This window comes from Homo sapiens, chromosome 11, assembly GCF_000001405.40.
Source record: "Homo sapiens chromosome 11, GRCh38.p14 Primary Assembly".
Taxonomy (NCBI): Eukaryota; Metazoa; Chordata; class Mammalia; order Primates; family Hominidae; genus Homo; species Homo sapiens.
Genome location: NC_000011.10, coordinates 560965 through 588509, shown reverse-complemented (window position 1 = coordinate 588509; position 27545 = coordinate 560965). Strand labels below are relative to the sequence as shown.

General features: G+C 59.3%; 3 protein-coding genes, 2 long non-coding RNA genes and 1 other non-coding gene across 22 annotated transcripts in view, besides 6 other annotated features; 3 read left to right on the top strand and 3 right to left on the bottom strand.

The window, feature by feature from the left end:
* PHRF1 (PHD and ring finger domains 1) overlaps positions 1 to 12040 on the bottom strand; it is a 35753-nt gene extending 23713 nt beyond the window's left edge. For 4 of the 15 annotated variants that reach the window (NM_001286581.2, NM_020901.4, XM_011520236.4 and 1 more), the window contains exons 1-4: positions 11918 to 12040; positions 6904 to 7018; positions 6429 to 6548; positions 1046 to 1251 (exon numbers count right to left, since the gene is read on the bottom strand). In NM_001286581.2, coding sequence (NP_001273510.1) covers positions 1046 to 1251; positions 6429 to 6548; positions 6904 to 6997 — 420 coding nt within the window. In that variant the 5' untranslated portion in view covers positions 6998 to 7018; positions 11918 to 12040. The remainder of the gene's footprint in view (positions 1 to 1045; positions 1252 to 6428; positions 6549 to 6903; positions 7019 to 11917) is intronic. The other 11 variants (XM_005253025.6, NM_001286582.2, XM_047427342.1 and 8 more) reach the window with 4 other exon arrangements.
* Positions 3746 to 4245: an enhancer, noted in NCBI's record as "H3K4me1 hESC enhancer chr11:584265-584764 (GRCh37/hg19 assembly coordinates)". NCBI's record gives its function as "activates a minimal SCP1, AML or CMV promoter by ChIP-STARR-seq in primed H9 embryonic stem cells {active_cell/tissue: H9 hESC(primed)}" and the evidence as "EXISTENCE:reporter gene assay evidence [ECO:0000049][PMID:30033119]".
* Positions 4246 to 4747: an enhancer, noted in NCBI's record as "H3K4me1 hESC enhancer chr11:583763-584264 (GRCh37/hg19 assembly coordinates)". NCBI's record gives its function as "activates a minimal SCP1, AML or CMV promoter by ChIP-STARR-seq in primed H9 embryonic stem cells {active_cell/tissue: H9 hESC(primed)}" and the evidence as "EXISTENCE:reporter gene assay evidence [ECO:0000049][PMID:30033119]".
* Positions 11914 to 16916, bottom strand: LOC124902805 (translation initiation factor IF-2-like). The gene is made up of 4 exons (XM_047428004.1): positions 16866 to 16916; positions 13745 to 13772; positions 12659 to 13293; positions 11914 to 12087 (listed from the first exon to the last, which is right to left on the bottom strand). Exons 1-4 carry the CDS (start codon positions 16914 to 16916, stop codon positions 11914 to 11916), a joined length of 888 nt encoding a protein of 295 aa, XP_047283960.1.
* Positions 12625 to 14702, top strand: LOC143666 (uncharacterized). The gene has a single exon (NR_026967.1). It is a non-coding gene; the product is annotated as an uncharacterized LOC143666 (long non-coding RNA).
* Positions 18371 to 19121: an enhancer, noted in NCBI's record as "H3K27ac-H3K4me1 hESC enhancer chr11:569389-570139 (GRCh37/hg19 assembly coordinates)". NCBI's record gives its function as "activates a minimal SCP1, AML or CMV promoter by ChIP-STARR-seq in naive H9 embryonic stem cells {active_cell/tissue: H9 hESC(naive)}" and the evidence as "EXISTENCE:reporter gene assay evidence [ECO:0000049][PMID:30033119]".
* MIR210HG (MIR210 host gene) lies at positions 20053 to 22853 on the top strand. Its single transcript, NR_038262.1, has 2 exons — positions 20053 to 20158; positions 20657 to 22853. It is a non-coding gene; the product is annotated as an MIR210 host gene (long non-coding RNA).
* On the top strand, positions 20312 to 20421 carry MIR210 (microRNA 210). Its single transcript, NR_029623.1, has one exon. It is a non-coding gene; the product is annotated as a microRNA 210 (primary transcript).
* Positions 21707 to 22261: an enhancer, noted in NCBI's record as "H3K4me1 hESC enhancer chr11:566249-566803 (GRCh37/hg19 assembly coordinates)". NCBI's record gives its function as "activates a minimal SCP1, AML or CMV promoter by ChIP-STARR-seq in naive H9 embryonic stem cells {active_cell/tissue: H9 hESC(naive)}" and the evidence as "EXISTENCE:reporter gene assay evidence [ECO:0000049][PMID:30033119]".
* Positions 22262 to 22816: an enhancer, noted in NCBI's record as "H3K4me1 hESC enhancer chr11:565694-566248 (GRCh37/hg19 assembly coordinates)". NCBI's record gives its function as "activates a minimal SCP1, AML or CMV promoter by ChIP-STARR-seq in naive and primed H9 embryonic stem cells {active_cell/tissue: H9 hESC(naive and primed)}" and the evidence as "EXISTENCE:reporter gene assay evidence [ECO:0000049][PMID:30033119]".
* Positions 24485 to 27540, bottom strand: RASSF7 (Ras association domain family member 7). Of its 3 annotated transcripts, NM_003475.4 has the most exons (6): positions 27033 to 27540; positions 26618 to 26748; positions 25734 to 26431; positions 25193 to 25321; positions 25032 to 25114; positions 24485 to 24952 (listed from the first exon to the last, which is right to left on the bottom strand). In NM_003475.4, the coding sequence occupies exons 2-6, from the start codon at positions 26739 to 26741 to the stop codon at positions 24865 to 24867; spliced, it is 1122 nt and encodes a 373-aa protein (NP_003466.1). In that variant the 5' UTR covers positions 26742 to 26748; positions 27033 to 27540; the 3' UTR covers positions 24485 to 24864. The 3 variants fall into 3 exon arrangements, with proteins under 3 accessions (NP_003466.1, NP_001137466.1, NP_001137465.1); NM_001143994.2 differs by lacking the exon at positions 25032 to 25114; NM_001143993.2 differs by having other exon boundaries at positions 24485 to 25321; positions 27477 to 27540.
* Positions 26162 to 26737: an enhancer, noted in NCBI's record as "H3K27ac-H3K4me1 hESC enhancer chr11:561773-562348 (GRCh37/hg19 assembly coordinates)". NCBI's record gives its function as "activates a minimal SCP1, AML or CMV promoter by ChIP-STARR-seq in primed H9 embryonic stem cells {active_cell/tissue: H9 hESC(primed)}" and the evidence as "EXISTENCE:reporter gene assay evidence [ECO:0000049][PMID:30033119]".
* Positions 27541 to 27545: the final 5 nt, after the last annotated feature.

Sequence of the window (27545 nt, the reverse complement as noted above, 5' to 3'; positions counted from 1 at the left end):
TACGCGGGAGGCTGAGGCAGGAGAATCGCTTGAACCCGGAAGGTGGAGGTTGTGGTGAGCCAAGATCGCGCCATTGCACTCCAGCCTGGGCAACAAGAACAAAACTCCGTCTCAAAAAAACAAAAAAAAAAAGAAAAGTCTAAGTCTGAATCTACTGTGTGCTGTGGACCCACCACAACAGAACAGGAACAGGAAGTACCAGAGCCAGACTTTGGGTGACATCACAGCCTGCCACCACCAGCAGCATGAGGAATGTCTGGGTCCTGCTTCAAACTAAGCATACAGGCAGTTTTCAGCTACTCAGTGAAACAGAACAGGAGGACCCAGTCACTAGGAACCCTGGGTGAGGTCACGGTCCTGAAGAGAGCCGGGGACAGCACGGGCTGCTGGTGCAATCGCAGGGAGGGGAGGGAGTCAAGAGGTAGTGGTGTCGGAGCTGAGCCCTGAGTACAGAGGTCGGGGACTCATGAGTCATCCTCAGACTGCAAGCTCTCCTTTTCTGACATTTTTCACAATATTCAGAAAGGGAGGGGGGAGCTGACTGCTTCTAAAAGTTCATTTTGAAATATAAAATACACTGCACGTTTACGGTAAACTCTATTCACCTGTTTTAAGGACAGTCTCTTTTGATGCCAGTTATTGTGAATGAATGCCAAATCGTACCGGTGTTTTCTGTATCAACTGAGAGAACCACATGTCAAGGCAGCAAAGTGACCACGCACCACAGCACACCTGCCTCTGGCTTGCAGGCCAAGATGGCCCCTATGTCAACCAGGGTTTCTGCAGCTGGTCCTGGGAGACCCACGGCCATCCTCTCTCCTGCCCCTGACCAATACACCACAAACGCCTCACATGAGCTCACCCACACCCCCAAGAGCCATGGTGCTCACAAAGCAAAGACCAAGCCAGACTCAATCCTGTGGCCCCAGGGTCAGCCGCAGAGCAGACAACTAGAACCTCACAAGAGGCTGAACACAGGCTGGGTCACCTATAAACAGGGAGGCCATCCTGAAGGGAGGAAGCACCCAACCAGAGGTGAACTCACCTTGGACCATTCGACAATGCAGTCCAGGCAGAAGTAATGGGCACAGTTCTCCGGCGTCCCCACGGCCTGGTCTCTGAATGCGTTGAGACAGATTGGGCAGCTCTCTGCATCATCATCAGAATTGAAAGAGCCAGCGGCTTCCAGTTTCCCCTGAGTACCCGCTACCTCCAGCAATGTCTCCCCGTCGTCTTCAGAATCCTCGGAACCTGGAGAGGAAACATGCCAGCTGGTGCAAGCAGGATGGGCAGCGTGAACCGCGGCACTGGAGGCAAGCGGGCCCAGGCTGCGCTCAGGACACCAGGTCGGCAATGCACAGCCCACCTCCCCGCAGGCTCCTGCCACTTACCTCCACGTCCACGCTCAGCACATCCACAACCCTGGGAGCCCTGCCCTGCACCTAACCTGAAGCCTCGGGTGCCCTGCACCGAGGGGCGGGAAGCTGAGCGTCCTGAGTGCCAGACCAGCTCCTCTAAGCTGAGCCTGGGGCTGAGGCAGACCTCGAGAGGCAGGGCAGCCCTGGGGCCTAGCACAGGTCCCAGAGACCATCAGGTTCATTTCAGAGCCTCCAAGCGAGCCCCTCAGTGCAGCAGCCCCCTGACAGCAGCCCCCATTTCCAACGCCCCCTTCTCAAAGCATGAGGACCACAAACCCTCTGCCCGCGGAAGGGACTTCCTTCTGAGGTTGCCTGTTCCTCCTCCCTGTGGGAGGCAGAGCACAGACTCCTAACTGGGCCACTAACCACAACCGTTCTGGCCAATTCGGAGTGGTTCTGAGGCTACACCTTGACCAGCAGGGAGCAGGGAGATGCTCCGAGTTCAACACGGCAGAGCCCATACGTGCACTGCTATCTTCTTTGTACCAAACTCCAATGAAACAACGCTAAAGTAAACAGAACACAAGTTCACATGGGAAGAGGAGCAGACTCGGTGTGGGTGGCAGGTTCCTCCTAGGCCCGAAACCCTCCAAACCCTCCCGGTTCCACGCATGTGGGCAGGACCCTGCCAGCACTGGGGCATCACTGCCAGGACCCTCTGTTATCTGGCAAAGGGAAAGACACACCCAGAACAGAAATATTTACACTGTTAAAGAGGCTGGGAGAAGTGAGAGCTGCGAGGGAGGCAGCAGAAGAGTTTTAAGTTCCCATCTTTCATGTTAAGAGTTGAAGAGCTACTGGCCGGGCGTGGTGGCTCACGCCTGTAATCCCGGCATCTTTGGGAGGCTGAGGTGGGCAGATCACGAGGTCAGGAGATAGAGACCATCCTGGCTAACAGTGAAACCCCGTCTCTACTAAAAGTACAAAAAATTGCCAGGCGTGGTGGCTCAAGCCTGTAATCCTAGTACTTTGGGAGGCTGAGGCAGGTGGATCACCTGAGGTCAGGGGTTTGAGACCAGCCTGGCCAACATGGTGAAACCCCGTCTCTACAAAAAATACAAAAATAGCCGGGTGTGGTGGCGTGTGCCTGTAATCCCAGCTACTTGGGAGGCTGAGACAGGAGAATCGCTTGAACCTGGGAAGCAGAGGTTGCAGTGAGCCTAGACTGCACGATTGCACTCCAGCCTGGGCAACAGAGCAAGACTCCGTCTCAAAAATAAATAAATAAATAAATATACAAAAAATTAGCTGGACGCGGTGGCAGGTGCCTATAGTCCCAGCTACTTGGGAGGCTGAGGCAGGAGAATGGCGTGAACCTGGGACGCAGAGCTTGCAGTGAACTGAGATCGTGCTGCTGCACTCCAGCCTGGGCAACAGAGCGAGACTCGACCTCAAAAAAAAAAAAAAAAAAGAGTTGAAGAGCTACTACCTCAAGCTGGAAAGGGCTACTACCTCAAGCTGGAAAGGGCTACTACCTCAAGCTGGAAAGGGCTACTACCTCAAGCTGGAAAGGGCTACTACCTCAAGCTGGAAAGGGCTACTACCTCAAGCTGGAAAGGGCTACTACCTCAAGCTGGAAAGAGCTACTACCTCAAGCTGGAAAGGGCTACTACCTCAAGCTGGAAAGGGCTACTACCTCAAGCTGGAAAGGGCTACTACCTCAAGCTGGAAAGGGCTACTACCTCAAGCTGGAAAGGGCTACTACCTCAAGCTGGAAAGGGCTACTACCTCAAGCTGGAAAGGGCTACTACCTCAAGCTGGAAAGGGCTACTACCTCAAGCTGGAAAGGGCTACTACCTCAAGCTGGAAAGGGCTACTACCTCAAGCTGGAAAGGGCTACTACCTCAAGCTGGAAAGGGCTACTACCTCAAGCTGGAAAGGGCAGTGTAACAAGTGATTTCCAGCAGGAAACACCAGGGTGGGAAAAGCAATGAGAACGAAAGCTCCCAAGCCCCAGCAACGTGGGTGTTGCTCGTGGAATAACTCCCTCCTCAACATGTTTCCCACCAGTTAGGGACCCACTGGCTACTTCTTCATGTTTAAAAAACAGTCCTGGCCAGGCGCGGTGGCTCATGCCTGTCATCCCAGCACTTTGGGAGGCCAAGGCGGGTGGATCACCTGAGGTCAGGAGTTCAAGACCAGCCTGGCCAACATGGTGAAACCCCATCTCGAATAACAATACAAAAATTACCCAGGCATGGTGGTGCGCGCCTGTAATCCGAGCTACTCGAGAGGCTGAGGCAGGAGAATCGCTTGAACCCGGGAGGCAGAGGCTGCAGTGAGCCGAGATTGCGCCACTACACTCCAGCCTGGGCAACAAGAGTGAAACTCGGTCTCAAAAAAAAAAAAAAAAAAAAAAAAAGGTCCTGGAGAAATAAAAAGAAGTGTTCACAGTGGCTATACCAACACCTCTCCAGTGCCTTCCCATCCCCTTCCTTCGGGGCGCTCAGCCCTCAGGGGCTCCAGGTCTCCATAAACCTGTCTCTTCACAGCTCCCCCGTCCTGGCCTGCCGCCTCTGCCCAGCCACCTCCTCCTGCCCCTCAGGTGGCAGCTTGGATTCTCCAGAAGCCTCTCCCCACCCCAGGTCCATGGAGCCTGCCCCTCCCCTGGACGCCCACAGCTCTCAGTGTCTATGACCCTGTCCCCCAGCTGCTGCTTGGCGCACTGTTTGCTGCTAGAAGGTGAGCGCAGACACGGTGGGGGCCCTGCTGAGGCTCCCGCCACCTTCACTCCAGCCCCCAACCCAGAGTCTCTGGCATCCAATGTGCCCTCAGGATCTCAAGGACAGAGTCACCTGGCGGCCCTGACGGCCCACACTTTCAGCCCTGGCAACGCCAGAACTGGTGCGGAGACCTACTACAGATGAACCAGAGCCCTAACCTGATGCTGGGAGGGAGCAGGGAAGCCCCTCAGGACCTGCAGACCCAAGCAGACCCGCAGAGCACGTGCAGAGCTAAACATCGAACTCTGGAAGGACACGGCCAACACACATTGGCTCAGGCCATGAGTGCCATTCCCTTACCAACAGTCTCAAACAGGAGTGTTACCTTTCTGGAACATTCTAACCCTGATAACCACAGGGCTATGCAGAAAGACTGCTACACACAGATCACAGTAGCCACTTGAGGACCATGGATTTTCCAGCCCAAGGGTGATGTCAGAAGGAAAGTAGTGGAAAGGCAAAGTTCTGAGCCTGAGCTCGGCCTCCCTCTGAGGAAGCAACCACAGCAGGGCCGGGGCAGGGCCACCTCCTTGGTGGCCTCACAGGCTGTGCACCACCGAGGGTGATGGCAACAGGGGACAAGGAAGGAGGTACCACCAGCGCACCCCACGGACTTGTCTCCCCTTTGTTTTGTTTGAGATAACGTCTCGCTCCAACACCCAGGCTGGAATGCAGCCTCAACTTCCTGGGCTCAAGGGTCCTCCCACCTCAGCCTCCTGCGTAGCTGAGACCATGGGCCTGGGCCACCACACCCAGCGCAGACCTGCCCTTTGGAACATTGTTCTCTCAAAAGAAGTTCAAGGGCACAACCATCAGCCAATTGTAAGTGAGCTGAGAATTTTTTATCTTTTTGAGACAGAGTCTCGCTCTGTGGCCCAGGCTGGAGTGTGGTGGCGTGATCTCAGCTCGCTGTAGCCTCGACCTCTTGGGCTCAAGCGATCCTCCAACCTCAGCCTCCTGAGTAGTGGGGATTACAGGCACGCACCACCACGCCCGGCTAATTTTGGTGGGGTTTTTTTGTTTGTTTTTTTTGAGACAGAGTCTCGCTCTGTTGCCCAGGCTGGAGTGCAGTGGCGATCTTGGCTCACTGCAACCTCCGACTCCCGGGTTCCAGCAATTCTCCTGCCTCAGCCTCCCAAGTAGCTGGGATTACAGGCGCGTGCCAACACGACTGGCTAATTTTTCTATTTTTAGTAGAGACGGGGTTTCACCATGTTAGCCACAATGGTCTCGATCTCCTGACCTCCTGATCCGCCCGCCTCGGCCTCCCAAAGTGCTGGGATTACAGGCGTGAGCCACCGCGCCCAGACAGCCAGAATTTCTTTTTCTTCCTTTGAGATGGAGTCTCGCTCTGTCGCTCAGGCTGGAGTACAATGGCACAATCTCGGCTCACTGCAACCTCCACCTCCTAGGTTCACACCATTCTCCTGCCTCAGCCTTCCGAGTAGCTGGGATTACAGGCGTCTACCACCACACCCGGCTAATTTTTTGTATTTGTAGTAGAGAGGGGGTTTCACTATGCTGGCCAGGCTCGTCTTGAAAAAAGGCCGGGCGCGGTGGCTCACGCCTGTAATCCCAGCACTTTGGGAGGCTGAGGTGGGCGGATCACGAGGTCAGGAGATCGAGACCATCCTGGCTAACGCGGTGAAACCCCATCTCTACTAAAAATACAAAAAATTAGCCAGGCTTGGTGGCGGGCGCCTGTAGTCCCAGCTACTCGGGAGGCTGAGGCAGGAGAATGGTGTGAACCCAGGAGGCAGAGCTTGCAGTGAGCCGAGATCGCGCCACTGCACTCAGCCTGGGCGACAGAGCGAGACTCCGTCTCAAAAAAGAAAAAAAAGGAGGACTACAGGCCAGGCACAGCGGCTCACTTGAGGTCAGGAAGAGTTCCAGACCAGATGGTGAAACCCCGTCTCTACTAAAGATACAAAAAGTAATTAGCCAAGTGTCATGGTGCGTGCCTGTAATCCCAGCTACTCACGAGGCTGAGCCAGGAGAATCACTTGAACCCGGGAGGCAGAAGTTGCAGTGAGCTGAGATGGCACCACTGTACTCCAGCCTGGGCAACAGAGCGACACCCTGTCTCAAAAAAAAAAAAAAAAAAGAAATGAAGTACTACAAATAAAGTGAGCCGTCACCACAGCTGAATATAAGGCCTCACCGTAGGTGACCGCAGGGACATGGCCAGCTGTGGTGACAGCACTCTCACGGAGGATGTGTTATAAAAGGCTGTCCCCATCACGACAAGAGGAAACACAGGAGCCGGCGTGAACACCAGCTGTCTCACCAGATCTGTCTTCCAGGTCTTCCTCCTCAGACGCCCCCTCGTCTTCTCCGTCTGTGCCATCTCCATGCTCGCTGTCACTGTCGTCCCCAGAGTCCCCACTGCTGCCCACGCTGCTTTCTTCTAGACACCAGGGTGAGACACAGGCCGCAGGGCGGCGTCAAGACCATGCAGCAGAGAGCAGGTTGCTTTGCACAGGCATAGAGGCGTCAGGAGCACCTGCCAAACGGCTAACGGCTTCCCCAGGGCCGGCAAGGTGGGGGCACAAGCAAGGAAAGGGAACATCCTTTCGTTCAACATTTGTGTTGTTTGCATTAAAAATAAAACAAAACAATACACTACTTCCGCAATTTAAAATCAAAGCATAATTTTTTTAGACTGAAAGTTGACAAGTGACACACACAGACGACCTCCAAAGGGAAACACCAGGCACCCTGCTCCTCCTGGGGACGCCCCTACCCGGCGCTAGGCAGCTCACCAAAGTCACCTGCCGGGTCCGCAGGGCCGACCTGTGGGTGTCCATCCGGCCCTGGGCTCCGGGCCACAAGCTCATCCAGGCTGTCGTCATCCATTGCTGCACATTGAGCTCAGCTCTGAAAGAAAGAAGAGCCAAGCAACTTCCAAACTGTCCCAGGCTGCAAAGAACCCTCTGAAGAGTTATGACCTCTCCCCACAGGCCACATCCCCGTGTCACATCCACCGCCACAGCACGTGAAGAGTGAGCCCTGAGATATCACCCACAGAACAACTCTCAGCAGTATCCCCACAGGCCACACCCCAGTGTCCCAGTGTCACATCCACCGCCACAGCACGTGAAGGGTGAGCCCTAAGATATCACCCACAGAACAACCCTCACCAGTAAGCCTTACACATGATTCACATTTACAGAGCTACCCATAAAGCCAGATCCTAGCTGGCCACTGTACCCGGCCAGAAAATAAAAATTTGTTTTTAACTAAAAAAAAAAAAAAAATTGGTCACGCCTGTAATCCCAGCACTTTGGGAGGCTGAGGCGGGCGGATCACCTGAGGTCGGGAGTTTGAGACCAGCCTGACCAACATGGAGAAACCCCATCTCTACTAAAAATATAAAATTAGGCCAGGCATAGCTGCTCACGCCTGTAACCCCAGCACTTTGAGAGGCCGAGGCAGGCGGATCACCTGAGGTCGGGAGTTTGAGACCAGCCTGGCCAGCATGATGAAACCCCGTCTCTACTAAAAATACAAAAATTAGCCAGGCGTGGTGGCGGGCGCCTGTAATCCCAGCTACTCGGGAAGCTGAGGCAGGAGAATCGCTTGCACCTGAGAGGCGGAGGTTGCAGTGAGCCGAGATCGCGCCACTGCACTCCAGCCTGCGCAATAAGAGCAAAACTCCATCTCAAAAAACTGCAATGCTCCTGAGGAATCGCAACACCATATACGAACAAAACGGCCTCATCCTGAGCTGAGGCAGAGCCGGGCTTTATCAGCTGGGCACAAGAGGGGCCTCAGTGACACGTAGGGTGCTCTCCCTGCCAAGGCTGGCCACTGTTGGGATGCCTGGAGGCTCCTCTGACCGCACCCCAACCCCATCCACCAGGGTGCTGCTGAGTCCCCAGTGGTACCCAGAGCTGAGGAGGCAGAAGGCACAGAGGCCAGGCCCACCCCTCGGCTCCCAAGACCACTTGCTCAAGGCCCTGACCCGTCAGCCGGGACCCCTGCCCTTCCCACTCTGCAAGGTCACTGTGAAACCACACAGGATCCCGTACAAAGCCTTGGGAAATCTAGTTGGACACGCTCCTCCTTCCACACCAGGGCCTCAAACTTTGGTCCCAGATAAGAAAGGAGATACGTGCACGTGGTTCATTTCTCATCAGTGCTATTGACCTTGTTTCCCAGGCGACTCTCGGAGGAAAGGCCTGTCCTAGGAGAGTGAGTCAGGAATCCAGCGAGGCAGTGAAGCCGGCCCTGCAGCACTCTGTTTCCCACCAAGTCCAACCTCCATCCATGATCAGAGGAAAGCGCATCGCACAAGAGGCCAGGAAGTAGGGGGCCAGAGCTGCCCTCGAGTTCAGGGCCTCCTTGCATTGGAGCTCAGCTCCCACCACCACTGTGGGCTGCACATGTACCACAGCAACGGGGGAAAGTGGCTGTCAGCGCCACTGCTGTCTGGAAACCCCTGGACAACAAACCCTAACGGGGCTCAGAAACCAGGACGGCCTCACTTCCCATCTGACAAGACAGTGCAAAACCCTAGATTCTAAGATGATGCCTTATAAAACAGTGAAGAATGTCAACTCCATCCAACTGTCAACTGCCAAATCTTACTACTGCCTGGAAACAGCGATTGTAGAAGTAGTTTTGCCAAATTAGTAATTAACCTTTCTTCTACCTGCCACCCTAAGGTGAAAACACCTGGTCATGATCCCCGCTCAAGGCAGTCTGCACCCCTGGTGCTTGGTGGACCCAGCAACTCCGCAGAGACGCCCTGCTCGTCCCGCACCTGAATCCTAGAGACACTGGCTCTGAGAGACACACGAGGGCCACGGCCCATCCAGGAGGGTGACCCCTCTCCCACAGCATGCACTGAGACCTAGCAGTGACCACAGCTCTCAGATAAGAGGACCTTAACTCCCTGGCAATAGCTGTGACCACCCTGACAACAGACCCCACATCTTCCAGGACGCCTGCTCCAACACCTACCCTGCTCCTACTTTGTGCAGCACAAGGCGAATGCAGTCCCTGCCCTGGAGAAACATATCTGAAAGAGGGAGGCAGACTCTCTCACATGAATCTACCAAGGAACACTTCAAAGAGACCACCTAAGAGATAACAGAGCAGGGCTGGGGGGAGGAGCAGGGCTGGGGGGAGGAGCAGGGCTGGGGGAGTCCCAGGGTCCAACTGTCCCGAGTGCAAATCCTCATTTGATGATGAATTTCACATAGAAAGTAAAAAATGTGAATTGGTAGCCAGGTGCAGTGGCTCACGCCTGTCATCCTAGCACTTTGGGAGACCAAGGTGGGCAGACGGCCTGAGCTCCGTAGTTCAAGACCAGCCTAGGCAACACAGTGAAACCCCATCTCTACTAAAATAGAAAAAATGAGCCGGGCATGGCGGCGTGCACCTGTAGTCCCAGCTACTCCGGAGGAGAATTGCTTGAACCTGGCAGGCGGAGGTTGCAGTGAGCTGAGATCGCGCCACTACATGCCACTGGGCGACAGAGTGAGACTCAGTCTCAAAAAAAAAAATGTGAATCAGCCGGGCGTGGTGGCTCATGCTTGTAATCCCAGCACTTTGGGAGGCTGAGGCAGGCAGATCACTTGAGCCTGCAAGTTATGAGACCAGCCTGGGCAACATGGCAAAACCGTTAAAAACCAGGTAGGTGTGGTGGAAACCGCCTGTAGTCCCAGCTGCTCGGGAGTCTGAGGTGCAAAGATCACTTCAGCTCAGGAGTTCGAGGCTGCAGTGAGCCATAGTATGTGAACAAACAGCTCCTGGCCTCTCCCTTGATGCACTGAGATTGGGGACCACCTCCAAGGGTTAGGTGGGGCGACAGGCAATGGCAGGGCTTGCCCCAGGGCTGCCAGAAGAGATCAGTGAGGCCGTGTGGGGTTTGGCACATAGGAGCTGGCCAGAAATACCAGCTCAGGAATGAGGCTGAACTTTGCGAGTCCATGCACCTGTGGGGCTAAGTCCTGAGGCCTTTGAACTTTACCACAGCTGGTGAGGGAAGACTCCACGGGCCTCTTACACTCCTCCACCACAGCAGCAGGAACGTTCAGGTTACGTGAGGCTGAACAACATCCTTCCTCGATATCACACAAAAGTAACCAGGGGCTATTTTGCCAGAGAACACAAAATAACCCAGGAAGCCTCCGCAGGTACCCTCTGGCACAAGCACCAGGCACAAGACCTGTTTGGGACCACCAGGACCTGTAGTTAGGATGCTGGGTTAATGGGAGCCCCTAGCTTAGGACCTCCTGGTTGCACCAGCAGCCCCAACTCCAACAAATCTTCCCTTCCCCATACCCACCTCTGCCATGTCCCAGGCCACAGGCCAGGAAGCCATTTCTGCAGAAAAGACCACAGCCCTTCCCAGCTGCTGGCCACCTTTGGCTGGGCTAGCAGAGCTCTGGGGTGGAGGAACCACTGTGACTCTCCTGCTTAGCCTCCAGATTTGGGGGATTAAAGAGGAAAACAAAAAACTGGAAAGGCTATTTCTCTCTCTTTTCAAATTCAGGGGAACCAATGCATTGGCAGTCCCAACTGTTACTAAGGAATGAAAAGGGCCTCTGGTGTCCGGGGTGCCTGCAACCCCGTTCCACGCCAGTCTCGGCACCTGAGTGCCCATCCCAGGCACTGAACAAGCCTGCAGCCAAGTCCAACACCTCAACTCAGGCCGACTTTTATTCTTGTATTCACCATCTGCTGTATCAGCTAGGAGAACTCAAAATTGTCAACTGCAATGGAAGTCAAAAAGTCAGGCACGCACAAAGGTCTCCGCGGGCCTGAGATAAACACAGCCCTGCTGAGGGCCAAGGCCAGGCTTGTCATGGCCATGATGCTGAGGTGCCATCCATCCACTAGCACTCTGACTTAACATTCTTCCAATAAGAAAGAAAACCGGATGGTCCAGGAGAGAGATCAACTATGCCAAACCCGAAGTCAAACCTCAGCTCGGCCTCAGAGCCTGTCCATTGACCACTGGCCAGAACGTGGTTCACCCAGCTGACTGCTGTTCTGCTGTTGTCGAAACAAGTAAAGCACATAAACTCCGAAGAAGGGGCAACACAAGCCCCGTCAAAAGGAGCATGGTAGGAGTCGGGGCTGGCGCGGATCCCCGGCTGCCGGCGCTGGCCAGTTACTTAGCCTTTCTGGGCTCCAATCCCCTCCTCTGTAAAACGGGAACAATACCTACACCTGAGAGGCTCTTGTGAGGACTGCAAGAGTTAAGGAATAGGAAAACCGCCAGCCACACAGGCCTGTGGACATGCAGACAAGGCCAGAAGCCCACGACGGCAACCATGCACAGGGGCCGGACACAAGGCAACGAAGTCACAGCTCTCTCCCAAACGCGGCAGGGCGGACTCGCAGGGGGCATGGGCGTGGGTGCCACAGAGCGAGGCGAGTGGGCTCTCGCCGCGTCCTCGCAAGCCCAGGACGTCCGCCCGCAGGCCACGGGCCTCCCAGTCTCGGCGGGGCCTCCCAGTCTCGGCGGGGCCTCCCAGTCTCGGCGGGGCCTCCCAGTCTCGGCGGGGCCTCCCAGTCTCGGCGGGGCCTCCCAGTCTCGGCGGGGCCTCCCAGTCTCGGCGGGGCCTCCCAGTCTCGGCGGGGCCTCCCAGTCTCGGCGGGGCCTCCCAGCGCGCGCGCGCCCGCCCGCCCTCCCGGCCCGCGGCCAGCGCGGCGCAGGCCTCGCCCCGCGGTGCAGGCCGCAGACAAAGCGCGTGGCGCCCACAGGCGGCCCGCGGCCCGGAGGAGCAGGGCCCCCAGGGCCGGCGCGGCCGCCGCACTTACCCGGAAACCTCGCGTCCCGCAGCCGCTCGCGAGCGCTCGCCGCCGCTGCACGACCGAGAGTCGCTCCTAGGCCCGGCCGCCGCCGCCTCTGCCGCCGCCGTGCGCTCTTCGACCCGGAAGTGCACGGCGCCTCTTCCGGGCTCCTCTGTCCTGCTCGCTGACTGGAACCACTGAGACCAGAGCGGGAAAGAAATGACTGAAGTGAGGAAGGTGCCACTCCTTGCAGCCGGGGGTCTCGAGGCGTTCAAACGGCCTCCCTTCCACCTTGGAAACACTCTTTAATGCAGGACTGCCGCCCGGGGAGACCAATATCCTGGAAGAGCTCGTACTGTTTAACCCGCGACCATGGGCTGGTCCAGGCCGTCCCCCCCGCGGCCGGGACAGCTGGTACCGCCCGGATCTCCGCCCACCGCCCAGAGCGAATGGGAGCTGCTTCCTGTACGTCAGCTCCGCCCCCACGCCCGCAGCCCCGTCCCTCCTCGGGCCCGCAGCCCCACCCCGCCCCCACGCACGTAGCCCCGCCCCCACCCCCGCAGCCCCGCCCCGCCTCGCGCCCGCAGCTCCGCCCCCACGTCTGCAGCCCCGCCCTGCCTCGGGACGGCCGCCCACGGCCCCGCCCCCTCCCTCGCAGCCCCGCCTCACGCCCGCTGCTCCGCAGCCCCGCCCCCACCCTCGCAGCCCCGCCCCCACGCCGCAACCCCGCCCGCAGCTCCTCCCTAGCCCCGCGCGCGGCGGGAGCACCTGGGGAGAAGAGTCCTGGCGTCGCCTGCTACCAGCGCCGCGCTCCTCTGAACAAACACTGCCGGAGCCCTCCGTGAGCCGGCTATTCCAGCCCAGCCCCGCGTCCGCCCGTCCCGCAGCAGGCGCGGTGAATCGTGCGCGCTGGCGGACGAGGCGGGCTCGGCAGGACGCTGCTGTGCCGTCCCGTGTGGATTTGGCTCCAGGTCGTCCTGAGGATGCCGCGCAGAAGCCGTGTGGGCCTCGGGACGCAGGCCTGCGTGGCTGCAGCGCACCAGGGGAGGCTCCGGGGATCCCGAGCTGGCGCGGACTCGCGAGACCCCCTGGCCGCTCTGCGGGGAGCGCTGGGGAGGCGTCCCGAGCGGGCGCCAGAGACCCGCGGGCTCCCCGTGCAGGGGCTGCCTGGGCTGGGGCCCGGGTGGGTCTGCGCAGGTGTGGGAAGTGCCGGCTCCCGGTAGATGCTGAAGGCGGAGTTGCCAGGATTTGCTGCGGACTTTTGGAGAAATGAGGCGGGGAAGGACGAGCTTGAGAACCGACGCCGGAGAGACGGGGAAGACGGGGGAGGCCTGAGCGCGGGCTGGCATGGCTGGGGAGGTTGTGCACTGCCCAAGAATGCTCACTGAGGAGCGTGTTCACGTCTCATCGTGGGTGTCTGTGTTTATTATGACAACTACCAGCAGCCCCCGAGGAGCAGCGACAGATGGAGGTCGGGGGCTCTAAGCTGAACACAGGCGGTCGGTCCTCCTTCCCAGGAGCCTCAGCGTGTGTGTCCGCAGGTGCCCCTTTATCTAGCGCCCTTGGGGGAATGGGACGTGTCAGAGGAGATGCAGTGGGCAGAGGCTGCACTGGATGAAGAGAACTATGTGGGAATCGCATGTGGGGTGTGACTGGGGACCAGTGCCTGAACTCTGGGACTCCAACTTGAAGAGGTTTGGAATCTGCAAAGGAGACTAGGAAGGGGCACAGGGGGTGCTAGGGGTGGGGGCCGGAGGACAAACCAGGAGAGGGGCTTCTGGAAGCCAGAGAGGGCGTGCACACACAGGCGGGGGAGGGAGCCTGGGTGCAGCAGGGTGGGCCACTGCGACTCACCGAGGGCCAGCGGCGCTGGGGCCAGGGGCTGGAGTTTGGAGAGTGAGCAGAGAGCACGCAGGGGCTGTGAACACCAACTTCTCTTTCAGGTCAATTTGCTGCAAAGGGGAAGGTAAAGGTGGAGGTAACTAAGGAGCAGGGCAAGAGAGGGGTGTGGTTTTCTGTAGGGTCCAGCCCTACGGGGGCTTAGCAGGTGTCCTCCCCGTGTGCAGAGACCAGAGATTGTAATAAAGACACGAGATAAAGAGCAGCTGGGCCCCGGGGGACCACTACCATCAAGACGTGGAGACCGGTAGTGGCCCTGAGCGCCTAGGTGCGCTGATATTTATTGCATACAAGACAAGGGGGCAGGGTAAGGAGGGTGAATCTTCTAAGTGATAAAGTGAAGCAAGTCACGTGATCATAGGACAGGGGGCCCTTCCCTCTTAGGCAGCCGAAGCAAAGAGAGAAGGCAGCATATGTCAGCATTTTCTTCTCTGCACTTAGAAGAACGATCAAAGACTTTAAGACTTTCACTATTTCTTCTACCGCTATCTACTACGAACTTCAAAGAGGAGCCAGGAGTACGGGAGGAGCATGAAAGTGGATAAGGAGTGTGATCATTCAAGCACCACAGGGAGGGGGTTAGGCCTCCGGATGACTGCAGGCCAGGCCTGGAGAATATCCAGCCTCCCACAAGAAGCTGGTGGAGCAGAGTGTTCCCTGACTCCTCCAAGGAAAGGAGACTCCCTTTCACGGTCGGCTAAGTAACGGGTGCCTTCCCAGGCACTGGCGTTACCGCTTGACCAAGGAGCCCTCAAGCGGCCCTTATGTTGGCGTGACAGAGGGCTCACCTCTTGCCTTCTAGGTCACTTCTCACAACGTCCCTTCAGCACCTGACCCTATACCCGCCGGTTATTCCTAGGTTGTATTAGTAATGCCACAAAGAGTAATATTAAAAGCTAATGACTAATATTTATAATAATGATTGATAATTTTCCATGATCATCTCTGTATCTAATTCGTATTAGGACTATTCTTATTCTATTTTCTTTATTATACTGAAACAGTTTGTGCCTTCAGTCTCTTGCTTCGGCACCTAGGTAATCTTTCGCCCACAGTTTTCTGTTTGCAATGGGAGAAATAACAGGCACTTATGGGTTCTGAAAATGCCCCTGCAGGAAGGAGGAGTGGATGGTGCCGACGACTGAGGAGGACTCTGGAGCAATCTATTCTCGGTGGGCCAGAGGGGCTGGGTGTCACTGCAGTCACCCAGGCCAGCCACCTGAACTCACGCACTTCAGTCTGTTTCTCAACCTCTGTGTGCCTCTGTGTCCTTGGCTGTGAAACAGGAATGTGGGTGCTCAGGCCTACCTCTTAGGTCACTGTGAGGACGAGATAGGTACGCCTCAGGTGGGGTCCAGTGTGATCAGCCAGCGGGCTGCGGGACCGCCCTCTGCCCTGCACCAGGCACCTCCCCTACCTTTACATGTGCCACGTGCCTGCCTGCTGGACACTAGATGCAGGGGCATCCACAGACACGCCGAGGCTCCTGGGAAGGAGGACGGGATGCCTGGGGGGCTGCTGGTAATTGTCATAATAAACACATGCACCCAGGCCAGGCACGGTGGCACTTGCCCTGTTATCCCAGCACTTTGGCAGGCCACAGCGGGAGGATCACTTGAGCCCAGGAGTTCCAACCTGGGCAACATGGTGAGATTTCCTTTCTACAAAAAAATTTAAAAAATTAGCCTGACATGGTAGTGCACACCTGTAGTCCCAGCTACTCGGGAGGCTGAGGTGGGAGGATTGCTTGAGACCAGGAGGTTGAGGCTGCAGTGAACCGCGATGGCACCACTGCACTGCAGCCTGGGTGACAGAGTGAGACCATGTCTCAAAAACAATAAAGCCGGGCATGGTGGCTCACACCTGTAATCCAGCACTTTCGGCTGAGGCAGGAGGGTTACCTGAGGTCAGGAGTTGGAGACCAACCTGGCCAACACGGTGAAACCCCATCTCTACTAAAACTACAAAAGTTACCTGGGCATGGTTACGCGTGCCTGTAGTCCCAGCTACTCGGGAGGCTGAGGCAGGAGAATGGCGTGAACCTGGGAGGCAGATGCTGCAGTGAGCCAAGATCGCGCCACTGCACTCCAGCCTGGGCAACAGAGTGAGACTCTGTCTCAAAAATAAATAAATGAATAAATAAACGCCAGGTGCGGTGGCTCACGCCTGTAATCCCAGCACTTTGGGAGGCCGAGGCGGGCGGATCACGAGGTCAGGAGATCGAGACCATCTTGGCTAACTGTCTCTACTAAAAAAAAAAAATACAAAAAATTAGCCGGGCGAGGTGGCGGGCGCCTGTAGTCCCAGCTACTCGGGAGGCTGAGGCAGGAGAATGGCGTGAACCCCCAGGGGGCGGAGCCTGCAGTGCCGAGATCACGCCACTGCACTCCAACCTGGGCGACAGCGAGACTCCGTCTCAAAAAAATAAAAAATAAATAAACACAGACATCCACATGGAGACATGAAGGACGTCCTCAGTGAGCATAATCCTTGGTCAGTGCACAACCAACCCAGGTATGTCAGACAGCACTCAGGCTCAGGTGTGAGAAGTATCTCCAGGCAGCTGCCCAGAGCCAAACTAGGCCCAAACTGTGCATAGGTGGTACTTGAGAGCATGAGAGCAGGGGCACATACCAATACCTCCTGACTCCCACCCCCACCGCTACCCACACACCTGACATAAAATGACTCCTTACCTGCTCGCACGTGGATAGATGCCTCACACACCAGCAGGCAGACACCTCCTGTATACAACCCCCTCATCAGTACTGTCACCTCCCCCGTACACTGACGGGTCACCCCCCAACCCCCATCACCTGCTAGTGTCAGTGTGCACACATGTGCATCCTGCCCACACAGCCTCACACAGACCTGTACTCTGAGGCTCCGGCCAGATTCCTGGTCGACACTGCCGTGTGCTGCCCCTGCCCCTTGCAGACGCAAGCATGGTGTGCATGCTCCTGGTGTGCACGGGAGGATGGAGCTGGGCTGGGAGCTCCCTTGCTTCTGTCCCGCCAGGCCAGCTTATCCCGGAGGGCCTAGCCCAGCCCCTTCCCACCCCTGCCCCCCACCCCACCATCAGGTCCGTGTGCACATACAGGGCTTGGTGGGCAATGAGCCCAGTCATCGCCCCCTGCTGAGACCCATCCCACTCCCAGCAGCAGGGAGCCCCAGAGCCAGGTGGATGCCTGGGGGAGGCAGGGGCAGGGGTGGCTGGAGGAGGTGGGTGGGGAGAGAACAAAGGAGTCAAAACTCTCAGAGCTGGGGGAGGGAACAGGCAGGGCTGCATTCTCTACCTAGGGAAGGCAGGTGTCTGTGTGTCCCAGGGCTGTCATATCAAACGGCCACAAACCAGAGCCCTTAGACAACAGAAAGGCATTCTCTCAGTCTGGAAGCCAGCAGTCAGAGATCCAGGCTGGCAGGGCCACCCTCCTTGTTGAGGATCTGGGGAGGTCCTTCTTCTCCCAGCTTCATCTCCAGGCGTTCCTTGGCTATGGCTTCCTATGGCCTCCCTCTGTGTCTGTGTCTCTTTTCTCTTTCTCTCCTTTTTTTTTGAGACAGAGTTTTGCTCTGTCGCCCAGACTGGAGTGCAGTGGTGCAATCTCTGCTCACTGCAGGCTCCGCCCACCGGGTTCACGCCATTCTCCTGCCTCAGCCTCCCGAGCAGCTGGGACTACAGGCGCCCGCCACCTCGCCCGGCTAATTTTTTGTATTTTTAGTAGAGACAGGGTTTCGCTGTGTTAGCCAGGATGGTCTCGATCTCCTGACCTCGTGATCCGCCTGCCTCGGCCTCCCAAAGTGCTGGGATTACAGGCGTGAGCCACCGCGCCCAGCCTTTTTTTTTTTTTTTTTTTTGTGACGGAGTCTTGCTCTGTTGCCCAGGCTGGAGTGCAATGGCGCGATCTCGGCTCACCTCAACCTCCACCTCCCAGGTTCAAGTGATTCTCCTGTCTCAGCCTCCCGAGTAGCTGGGATTACGGGCATGCATCACCACGCCCGGCTAATTTTGTATTTTTAGTAGAGACGGGGTTTCTCCATGTTGATCAGGCTGGTCTCGAACTCCTGATCTCAGGTGATCCACCCTCCTCGGCCTCCCAAAGTGCTGGGATTACAGGCATGAGCCACCGCGCCCGGCCTTCTCTCTTTTTTTGTGTTTTTTGTTTGTCTGTTTGAGACAGAGTCGTACTCTGTTGCCCATGCTGGAGTGCAGTGGCGTGATCTCAGCTCACTGCCAACCTCCCAGGTTCAAGCGATTCTCCTGCCTCAGCCTCCCAAGTAGCTGGGATTACAAGCTCACACTACCATGCCCGGCTGATTTTTTTGTATTTTTAGTAGAGATGGGGTTTCACTATGTTGGCCAGGCTGGCCTCAAACTCCTGGCCTCAGGTGATCTGCCCACCTCGGCCTCCCAGAGTGCTGGGATTACAGGCTTGAGCCACCACACCCGGCCTGTTTTCCCTGTCTTTTATAAGGACACTGATCATTGGATTTAGGGCCCACCCAGAAAGTCCAGGATGATCTCGTTTCAAGATGTTTCCCTTAATGACATCTGCAAAGATGCTTTCTCCCGATGAGGGCACATTTAGGAAGCCTGGGTATTAGGATGTGGATATATCTTCTTTTTGGCGGAGGGACCATCCCACTCACTACAGATGCTGAGAAAAGGTGCCTGTGAAATTGGCAGGACTGGGGGCAGAAGTGGGTTCACGTCAGCAGGGCACGACAGGAACACAGAGCTGCCCTGTCCTCTTGCCCCTTCTTGTCCCCTAGTCTGACTGCCCTAGGAGCCTCTGCCCTGCCATGAAGACGTGGGCCTTCTCAGGGACCCCACTGACTCTTAGAGGCTCCTTCACGACCCACAGGATCGAGGTCTTGCTGACCCCTGACCCCCAATAGAACCGAGTGGCTCCGTGATCCTCTGGGCACCTTCCCCATCCACAGGCAGCCACAGGTGCAAGGAGCCACTCGGTTCTATCGGGGGCCAAGGGTCAAGGGGTCAGCAAGACCTCGGTCATGTCTTGCTGATCATGTCTGAGTCACCCCAGACTCTGCATCTGAATTTTTGTCCCCAGCCTTCAAGCCCCTGAGGACATGGGCTGGTTCGGAAGCTCCCTGGGGCCCCAGCACTTTGCCGCCGGGGCTGGGGCAGGGGGCAGGCTGCGGCCCAGGCCTGCGCGGATGCCGAGGCAGGGAGGTCATGGGGCCAGGGGAGGACAAAGAGCAGGGCGGTGAGTTTAGGGCCAGGGAGCTGAGGGGAGACGGCCCGGGGCCGAGGACCAGGGTGACAGTGCCAAGGGGGGCCGGCGGCCAAATCTCCTTTGGCTGCCACTTTGGAGCCCCACCCCGGAGTCCGATACTTCCACGTCTGAAGCTGGCCCTGCGAGTCCTAACGAAGGTCAAACCGTCAAGGCTCCTTTGATTTTACACGTTTTCAGCGCACAGACAGGATTCTCTCGCCTCGTCCCCTCAAAGACCGGCACAGGGCTGCGAAGACCCCTGAGCCCTTGAGGCACCCCCTCCAGGCTCCAGAGGCTTCCGCGGAGACAGAGCGCGCAGGAGGGACCCAGAGCCCCCAAGGGCGCCCCGTGGGGGTCGCCAGGCAAACCAGGCAGAGCCAGAGCCCCCTCTTCGCCAGCAGGACGGACCCGGGCGTCCTTTGGGGACCCCAAGCCGCCCGGGGGGTGGTGCGTGCGTCCCGAGGACGCCGTGTCCGGGCCCGCGCAGGCCCCACCCGGGTCACGGCCCGGGATACGTGCGCCGGGCGCCCAGCGGGTTGGGGGGGGCGGGCCCGCGGGACGCGGGTGCGGGGCACGGAGGCGGCCGGGTCGTACCACCGCGCCGCGGGAAGAGGGGCAGCTCCCGGCCGGCCCTGCCGCCCCACGCACACCCGCGGGCGGAGGACCCGTCGCCAGGCTGCGCCCCACGCCCAGCCCGGAAGCCCCGCGAGCCCGGGCCATACCACCGCGCGGCGGGAGGAGGACCACCTCGGGCCGTACCATCCGCCCGGCCGGGGGACGCGCCCTGGCCCCGCCGCGCCCTCGCAGCTGGCGCCCCGCAGGCCCCGCCCGGCAGGTGCCGCCCCTCCCCGGGCAGACGTGCAGAAAAGAACGCGCCGGCCTCGCCCGCGAAGGGCCGCGCGGCGGTGGGCGGGGCGTCGCGAACCCCCCTCGCGCCCACTGGCTGCGTTGCGGTAGGGCGGGCCCGGCTAGGCCGGCCATTGGCTGAGGGACCAGGTCATTTGCATACGGGGCTGGGCGTGGAGCCGCGGGGCCCGGGGCCGGTCGGGTCGGGCCGGGGGGCGAGAGGGTGCCAGCGGCCGCAGCTGAAGTTGGGCCGAGAGCCGGCGACGGCCCCGCGCCGGGGTCGCAGGTGACGCGCGAGGGATCCCAGGTTGGCGGGCGGGGCGCCCCTCAGAGGCCGCCCTCCCGCGGGGGCTGCGGGGGGTCGGGCTGGGCAGGCGCGGCGGGGCTCGGACGCCCAAGTTGGAGGGGACGGGGGTGGGGTCAATCCCTCCGCCCGCCCACCCGGCAGTGCCTCCAGGCGCAGGGCAGCCCCTGCCCACCGCACACTGCGCTGCCCCAGACCCACTGTGCGTGTGACAGCGGCTGATCTGTGCCTGGGCAGCGCGACCCTCCTGGCCCCGTGTCCGGGTCTGGCGGGCAGGCGAGCGGCCACACGGGGACGCGAGGGCAGCTGGATACCGTGGGGAGGGGGTGCCCTATGGACGGGGTGTGCCTGTCTGGCCAGCAGGGACGGCGGGTGGGGGTAAGCGAAATCATTCGGGGGCTTTGCTGCCCTCCGCTTGGTGGGGCTGAGGCTGGGCCAGATACCCTCTTGGAGGGAACTTTCTTTTCCTTGTGTGTCCAGGGTACCAGTGTGCGGAGTTCCTGTTGCCAAGCTGAAGGTGGCCCTGGGCAGGCACAGGTGTGGTCATATCTTCAGCCAACAGGACCATCCTCCGGAGGGCCACCTCTGGGGACTTCCTACGGGAAGAGAGTGACAGATTTGGTGCTTCTGTGTGTTTCTGCCGCTTCAGTGGGGCCGCTGCGGGAGACAGCGGGTGGATCCTCCAGCAGCCTGTCTGCTGAGCCTGCCTTCTCAAGTCTACTGTTAAAATCAGGACCGGGTCGTGTCCGAGCCTACAGGCCCTGTCTCCGCTCCCCAGGCCTGCAGGAGTTGAGGGCTGCACCTGCTCGCTGGAGAGGGAGAGGCAGATTTAGTGGACGCCTGGCATGGACTCGGACTGGCCTTTGGAAGCTCCCTGCCCTGACGGGGTTGCCTGTCACCACTGCGAAGTGAGGCTTGGCAGGACCTGCACCTGAGAAAGGCTGTGTGTGGTCTTGGGGTCCACACCTGCAGAGCTAACTTACTGCCAGACGGCGACTTACTGTGGGCCACCCTCAGTGAACCGGGGTGTCCTCAGCTGGCCCTACAGAGCACTTCTGTGCTGGGGATGAGTAGGAACTCTGGGCGAGGAGGGTCCCAGCGCCGCCCCTCGATACAGCCTGGCTCTGCCCTCTGCCCGTACTTACACCAGGTGGGATCCCTGCCCTGCATTGCCTGGGGATTGGCTGGGCTTGGGCCCGCCCTGCTGTGGAACTGGATGTTTTCAGGGAGCCCAGCCTTTCCTCATGTCAACACAGTTCACAATATAGTTTTCAAAGTACAGTTTAAAACTCAAAAGTAAACTTTTCAGCAACTCAAAGGTTTGCTGAGTGATCTGAAGCACTCTGGCCACTTTTTGGGGCCATGGGATTTGGTTCACCTGAAACAGCCAGTGAGAGGCCGGGTGTGGTGGCTCACACCCGTAATCCCAACACTTCAGGAGGCAGACGCGGGTGATCGCTCACTTGAGATCAGGAGTTCAAGACCAGCCTGGGCAACATGGTGAAACCTCGTCTCTACTAAAAATACAAAAATTAGCTAGGCATGGTGGTGGGCACCTGTAATCCCAGCTACTTGGAAGGCTGAGGCAAGAGAATCGCTTGAACCTGGGAGGTGGAGGTTGCAGCGAGACGAGATTACGCCGCTGCACTCCAGCCTGGGTGACGAGAGACTCTGCCTCAAAAAAATAAAAAAATGAAACAGCCAGTGAGGAGGAAGGCTCCCCGCCTTCCCCCCGCCGGAACATAGCCATAGCTGCTGCTGGGACACCCTCTTGGTGGGGAAGAAGGCTGGTTAGCTTCATCAGAGCCAGCAGCAGCAGACCAGGGACGGGCACCTAGGCAGTGGCCTCAGAGTGAACAGGAGTTCCTCAGAAACACACACAGGGACGGCGTGGCGCATGCTCTGCCAGCTCCATGCCTCCTTCCCATTGTGGGGCTGGGGTACGTAGGGCAGAGCTCATGACCTCCGGGAGGACATGGGGGTGGGCTCTGGATGGCACCTGGCATTGCCCCCTGCTGGCCTATGTGACGGTGTGGAGGGCTGGTCACAGAGGTACGACCATCCCTCCAGAATGTGGGTCGGGGCTGTGGATGGAGGAGTAGGCCCCTCATATCCCAGGCCTGCTGCCCAGGCACAACCCACTTGGCCTATGCATTCCAGGCTCCATCCCATGTGACTCTGGGCTTAGCCCCTTCTGGGGCCACAGGTCAGGCAGGTCCAGGCCCCAAGGACCTCCCAGTGACAGGCGACTGTGAGCTGGGCAGACAGGAGTGAAGTCAGGTGGGGGTTCTGGCTTGCTGACACCAGCGTTTGGAGCCTCCTGCTGCTGCCTGGCTTCCCTGCATTCCCTGTTCCCTGCCTCAGGCAAGAAATAACCAAGCCGAGTTGCCTCTGCACAGCAGTGAGCTCCTGGTGGCCCTGGCTTCTGGGGAGCCCTGTGGATGGCTTCCTTGCCCAAGTCCAGGCCTTCTTGTTCCCTTTGTGTGCTCCAGAGAAAGGGGGCAGCACCAGATCCAGATCCAGGGCCAACCAACAGAAAGCTGAGTCCATCCCAAACTCGCCCATTCTCAGAGCACAAAGACCCCATGATCTAGGGCAAACTTGTCCAACTGTTGGCCCATGGAACAGCTTTGAATGCAGCCCAACACAAATCTATAAATTTTCTTAAACATTGTGAGTTGTTTTTTGTTGTTATTTTGAGACAGAGTCTCGATCTGTCGCCCAGGCTGGAGTTAGTGGCCCAATCTCGGCTCACTGCAAGCTCCGCCTCCTGGGTTCACGCTCGTCTCCTGCCTCAGCCTCCCGAGTAGCTGGGACTACAGGCGCCCGCCAACACGCCTGGCTAATTTTGGTATTTTTAGTAGAGACGGGGTTTCACCACGTTAGCCAGGATGGTCTTGATCTCCTGACCTTGTGATCTGCCCGCCTCGGCCTCCCAAAGTGCTGGGATTACAGGTGTGAGCCACCGTGCCTGGCCAACATTGTGAGTTTTTTTTACGATTTTTTTTTTAAAGCTTATCAGCTATCATTACTGTATTCCATGTATGGCCCATGTATGGCCTCAGTGTATTCCAATGTGGCCCAGGGAAGCCAAAAGATTGGACACCCCTGACCTAGGGCATCCCCATCCTCTGCCTTCCCATGCATGGCTGTACCCAGGTATAGGGGTCCTCCACATTCTGCTCAACACAAAAGATTTCTCCAGCCCCAACCATGGATCCTGGAGCTGGGAGTGTATGGCTTACCCTTAGAACCAGGAGAGGTGACAGCTAGCCCAAGGGCCCAGGCAGGGGCTGGGCTGTGGACACAATTTTTTTTTATTTTGGAGACAGAGTCTTGCTCTGTCACTAAGGCTGGAGTGCAGTGGAGTGATCTTAGCTCACTGCAACCTCTGCCTCCCAGGTTCAACTAATTCTCCTGCCTCAGCCTCCCAAGTAACTGGGATTACAGGTGCATGCCACCACACCCGGTTTTGTTTTTTTTTTTTTTTGACAGAGTCTTGCTTTGTTGCCCAGGCTGGAGCACAGTGGCGCGATCTCGGCTCACTGCAAACTCCGCCCCCCGGGTTCACGCCATTCTCCTGCCTCAGCCTCCCGAGTAGCTGGAACTACAAGCACCCTCCACCACGCCCGGCCAATTTTTTGTATTTTTAGTAGAGACGGGGTTTCATCATGTTGGCCAGGCTGGTCTCAAACTCCTGACCTCAGGTGATCCGCCTGCCTCAGCTTCCCAAAGTGCTGGGATTACAGGCGTGAGCCACCATGCCTGGCCCCTGCCCTGATTTCAAAGCTGCAAGCTCAGAGCAGACATTTCACACCCACCTGGAGAAGAGGAGGCAGCCCCTGCCCACTGGTACCCATACCCTCCCTGGGGTGGTGAAGCAGCCTGGGACTGGCTGACCTGAGTGTGGGATCCACCCCCACAAGTTCTCAGTAAACCTGACGGGCGGGTCTAGCTTGTCCTGACGTCCTCAGTTCCCGCTGCTGGCGGGGCACAGGCAACATGACAGAGAGTCAGGTGGGAGGGGGTCCAGACAAATGCCTGGGACAGTCAGGCCAGGCTGAACCAGCAGGCCCACCAGGCTGGGGCCCTCACAGGAGAGCCCCTGGGGTTAGGTGAGGCAGAGCAGATGGAATGTGGAGCTCAGGAAGCCCCAGCCCTGGGCCCTACTGAGCACCCTGAGGGATCCTATTCTCAGATACTCCAGCTGTGGTGAGCCCCAGGTGTGTCAGGGTACTGCTCAGTGGCACCCCATGGAGGCTCAAGTTCAAGACCTCAGACCCTGCCCAGCGCAGCCTCCACACACACTCAAGCTGCTTCGGGCAGTTTATTGAGGTTTTCACGTTGGGGTAGGGGAAGTGGCACACACATGCTCTTGCTGTGTACACACAGTGAAGGACCTCTCCCGCAGGCAAGCACATGCCCACAGCTTGAGCACACTGTCCATGCATCTCCTGTCCCCAACAGGCAGTCGTGGCCTTTGGGGCCTGGCAAGTTCCGAGCTGGCTACGCCCCATGCTTCTCCAGGGTGCTGGCGACCTGGCAAGGACTAGGGCAGTCCCCCACTGCACCCCCAGCTCCTGAGGCCAAACCCAGGGCTTCCCACTGCCTGGCAGAGGAGCCCTCTGTGACCGCCAACTCTCCTTCTGTGGTCCGGGCAGGATGGTCTTGCAGCCCTCACTAGGCTGTCACAGAGCCTGGGGCTGGGCTGCCAGAGGACACCACTCTGGGGCAGGAGCTGCTGCTACCTCCAGGAGTTCTGCGTCATGGGGGCCACTGCGGGAGGACACAGGCTGAGGTGGCTGCAGCCACAGGAGGGCCCGGTGCCCCAGGGGGAGGTGGGGCACAGACATACCCTCGGGGCCTAGGCTGGGCACCAGCATGGGACTCAGAGGGAGCGCCCAGGAGGGACTCCTCTCTGGCTGGAGGCAGAGGGCCCTGTGGGTTGGGAAGTCAGCTTGGAGTGGGGCTGGGCCAGGTCCTCACCTCCCAGCCTCCCCCCAGAACCACTCCGACCTGAGTGCCAGGAGGGCCCCTGTCAGGCCGTGGGGGCGGTGGCAGCGCAGCCCCGGTCTGCTGGATGAACTGCTGCAGGTTGCACTGACGGAGCTCTCGGTTCAGCTCCTCCAGCTCCTGAGCCTGAGCCTGGGGACACATGAGATCCTTAGGAGGCACAGCCACTGGGCTCCACAGCCCTTGTGCTCCGGAGGGAGCACTTTCCCTGGTCGGGCCCTGTGACCCCCATATCTGCCCACGTCAGGGGTTGGGGAGTGACAGGGGATCAGGTCCCCGGGCTCACCTGCCTCCCGAGTGGGACCCTGTGACCCCCGTATCTGCCCACGTCAGGGGTGGGGGAGTGACAGGGGATCAGGTCCGCGGGCTCACCTGCCTCCCGAGTCAGACCCTGTGACCCCCATATCTGCCCACGTCAGGGGTGGGGGAGTGACAGGGGATCAGGTCCCCGGGCTCACCTGCCTCCCGAGTGGGACCCTGTGATCCCCGTATCTGCCCATATCAGGGGTGGGGGAGTGACAGGGGATCAGGTCCCCGGGCTCACCTGCAAGGCTCGCTCTGCTGCCTCCAGGGCCCGGCTCACCAGAGCCAGGCTGCCCTGCACCTCCGCACTCTGCCGCTCCTGAACAGCCAGGTCCTGGTGCAGGCGCTCAGTGGCAGATGCCATAGGTGAGGGGGGCCCAGGGGCCTCCGCTGCCAGCTGCAGCTCAGCCTCCAGGGCACGGGCCTGAGCGTCCAGGGCCTGCAGCCGGGCGGCATGCTCAGCAGTGGCCGCACTTAGTGCCTGCAGGCGTGCCTGTCCCTCTCGCTCCCGGGCCTGCTCCCGGCGCAGCTCTTGCTCCCAGAAGGCCTCATGGCCCAGCTCCTCAGCATTCCTCTGCACCCTGAGCTCCAGGCCCCGCAGGTCTGTGCAGCAGCCTGGTGTGGGTGTCACAGGGGCCGCAGGCCCAGGGCGTGAGAGGCTGGGGGCTGGCTCGGGGGTCAGTGTTTTGCGGGGCTCACAGCCCAGCGCAGCCCGTGGCTTTACAGGGAGGCTGGCACGAATTAGGCAGCGTTCCGGGGGTGGACAGCTGTCTGAGGAGGGCCTCCCAGCTAGGCTGGGCCCTGTGCGCCTCAGGACAAACTGGACATCGCTGGCAAACTGTCCGCAGGTGGCCTGGGCGCCCACTGGACACTCTTGTGGCAGCAACTGCCGCTCCTTCTCCCGAAGCCGCTGCACAAGCACAAAGCGGCCAGTCTGGCCTGGGAAGAAGAGGAGAAGGTCAGCCTATGTCCCCCCGACTCTCTGTCCACCTGGCTTGAAGAGTTGGGAAGAACAAAAAGGATCAGCAACCAGCCCCACTCTCCTTGGGGGAGACCATGGAGCTGGACCACCAGGTCCCACTTCAGCTCTACCTGCCCGGCCTGCCTGACCCCGAGAGGACTCACCTATTGCTTGGGCTAGTGCGATGACCACTTCCTGGCAGGTGGTCTGCTCTGAGACCCCACAGACCACACGCTGGATGCCATCCACCCACACCTTCAGCTCCATGGCCGCCAGTCCCAACAACATGCCTGTCCTGTGGGGAGGGCGCAGGCACCGGGTCAGGACCTGCCTACTCCTATCGCAGGCTGGTCCTCCTCTCCTCATCCTCTTGGCCTGCCCTAGAAACGGCTGGGCTGCCGCCCCTCCGCACGGGCCCCACCCTCCTGTGCCAGCCCCACCCGCCAGCCACACATTCCTGGGGTGGCGGCCCTCCGGAGCACGCATCCTCCCCCACTTCACCAGCTTCCTCTTGCCACGCTCGCACTCCCGGAACAAGGCGAATCATTAACCAGATCCAGCATTTCCTACTCGCCTCACCTGGCTCGGAGGACACTGCCCCCTCCCCGGGCGGCGCGGAGGCGCCCGCACGCCAGGCCCCGCGGCCGCCGGCATGGGAACGCCCCACCCCGACCTGCTCAGGCCGCAGAGGCGCTCGGGGTCGCAACCCAGACCTCGACCCTGCAGATGGAGCAGACTCCGGGTCTGAGCAGCCCCCGCCAGCCCGGGGAGCCCCGCCGCTGCCGCCTAATCGCTGCGCTCGCCCCGAAAGTCCCGGTCCCCGCCGCGGGCACCGAAGCCCGCGCCGCGACCCCAGCCTGGCGGGAGCCAGGGCGTCCCCGTTCCGCAGGGCGGGCGCAGGTGCGGCGCCGCCCCCGCTCTCCGTCCGGGCATCGCGGAAAACTCTCCCCAGTTGGAGTCGGCGTCCGGCCGGCTCGAGGCGCGCCCCGCGCTCCCAAGTACCGGGGACCCGGCGCGGCTCACCTGGGCGCTCGCCAGCCTGGAGACCCGCTCCGGCGCCGCCGCAACCTGCCGCCCCCAGCGCCGCGGCGC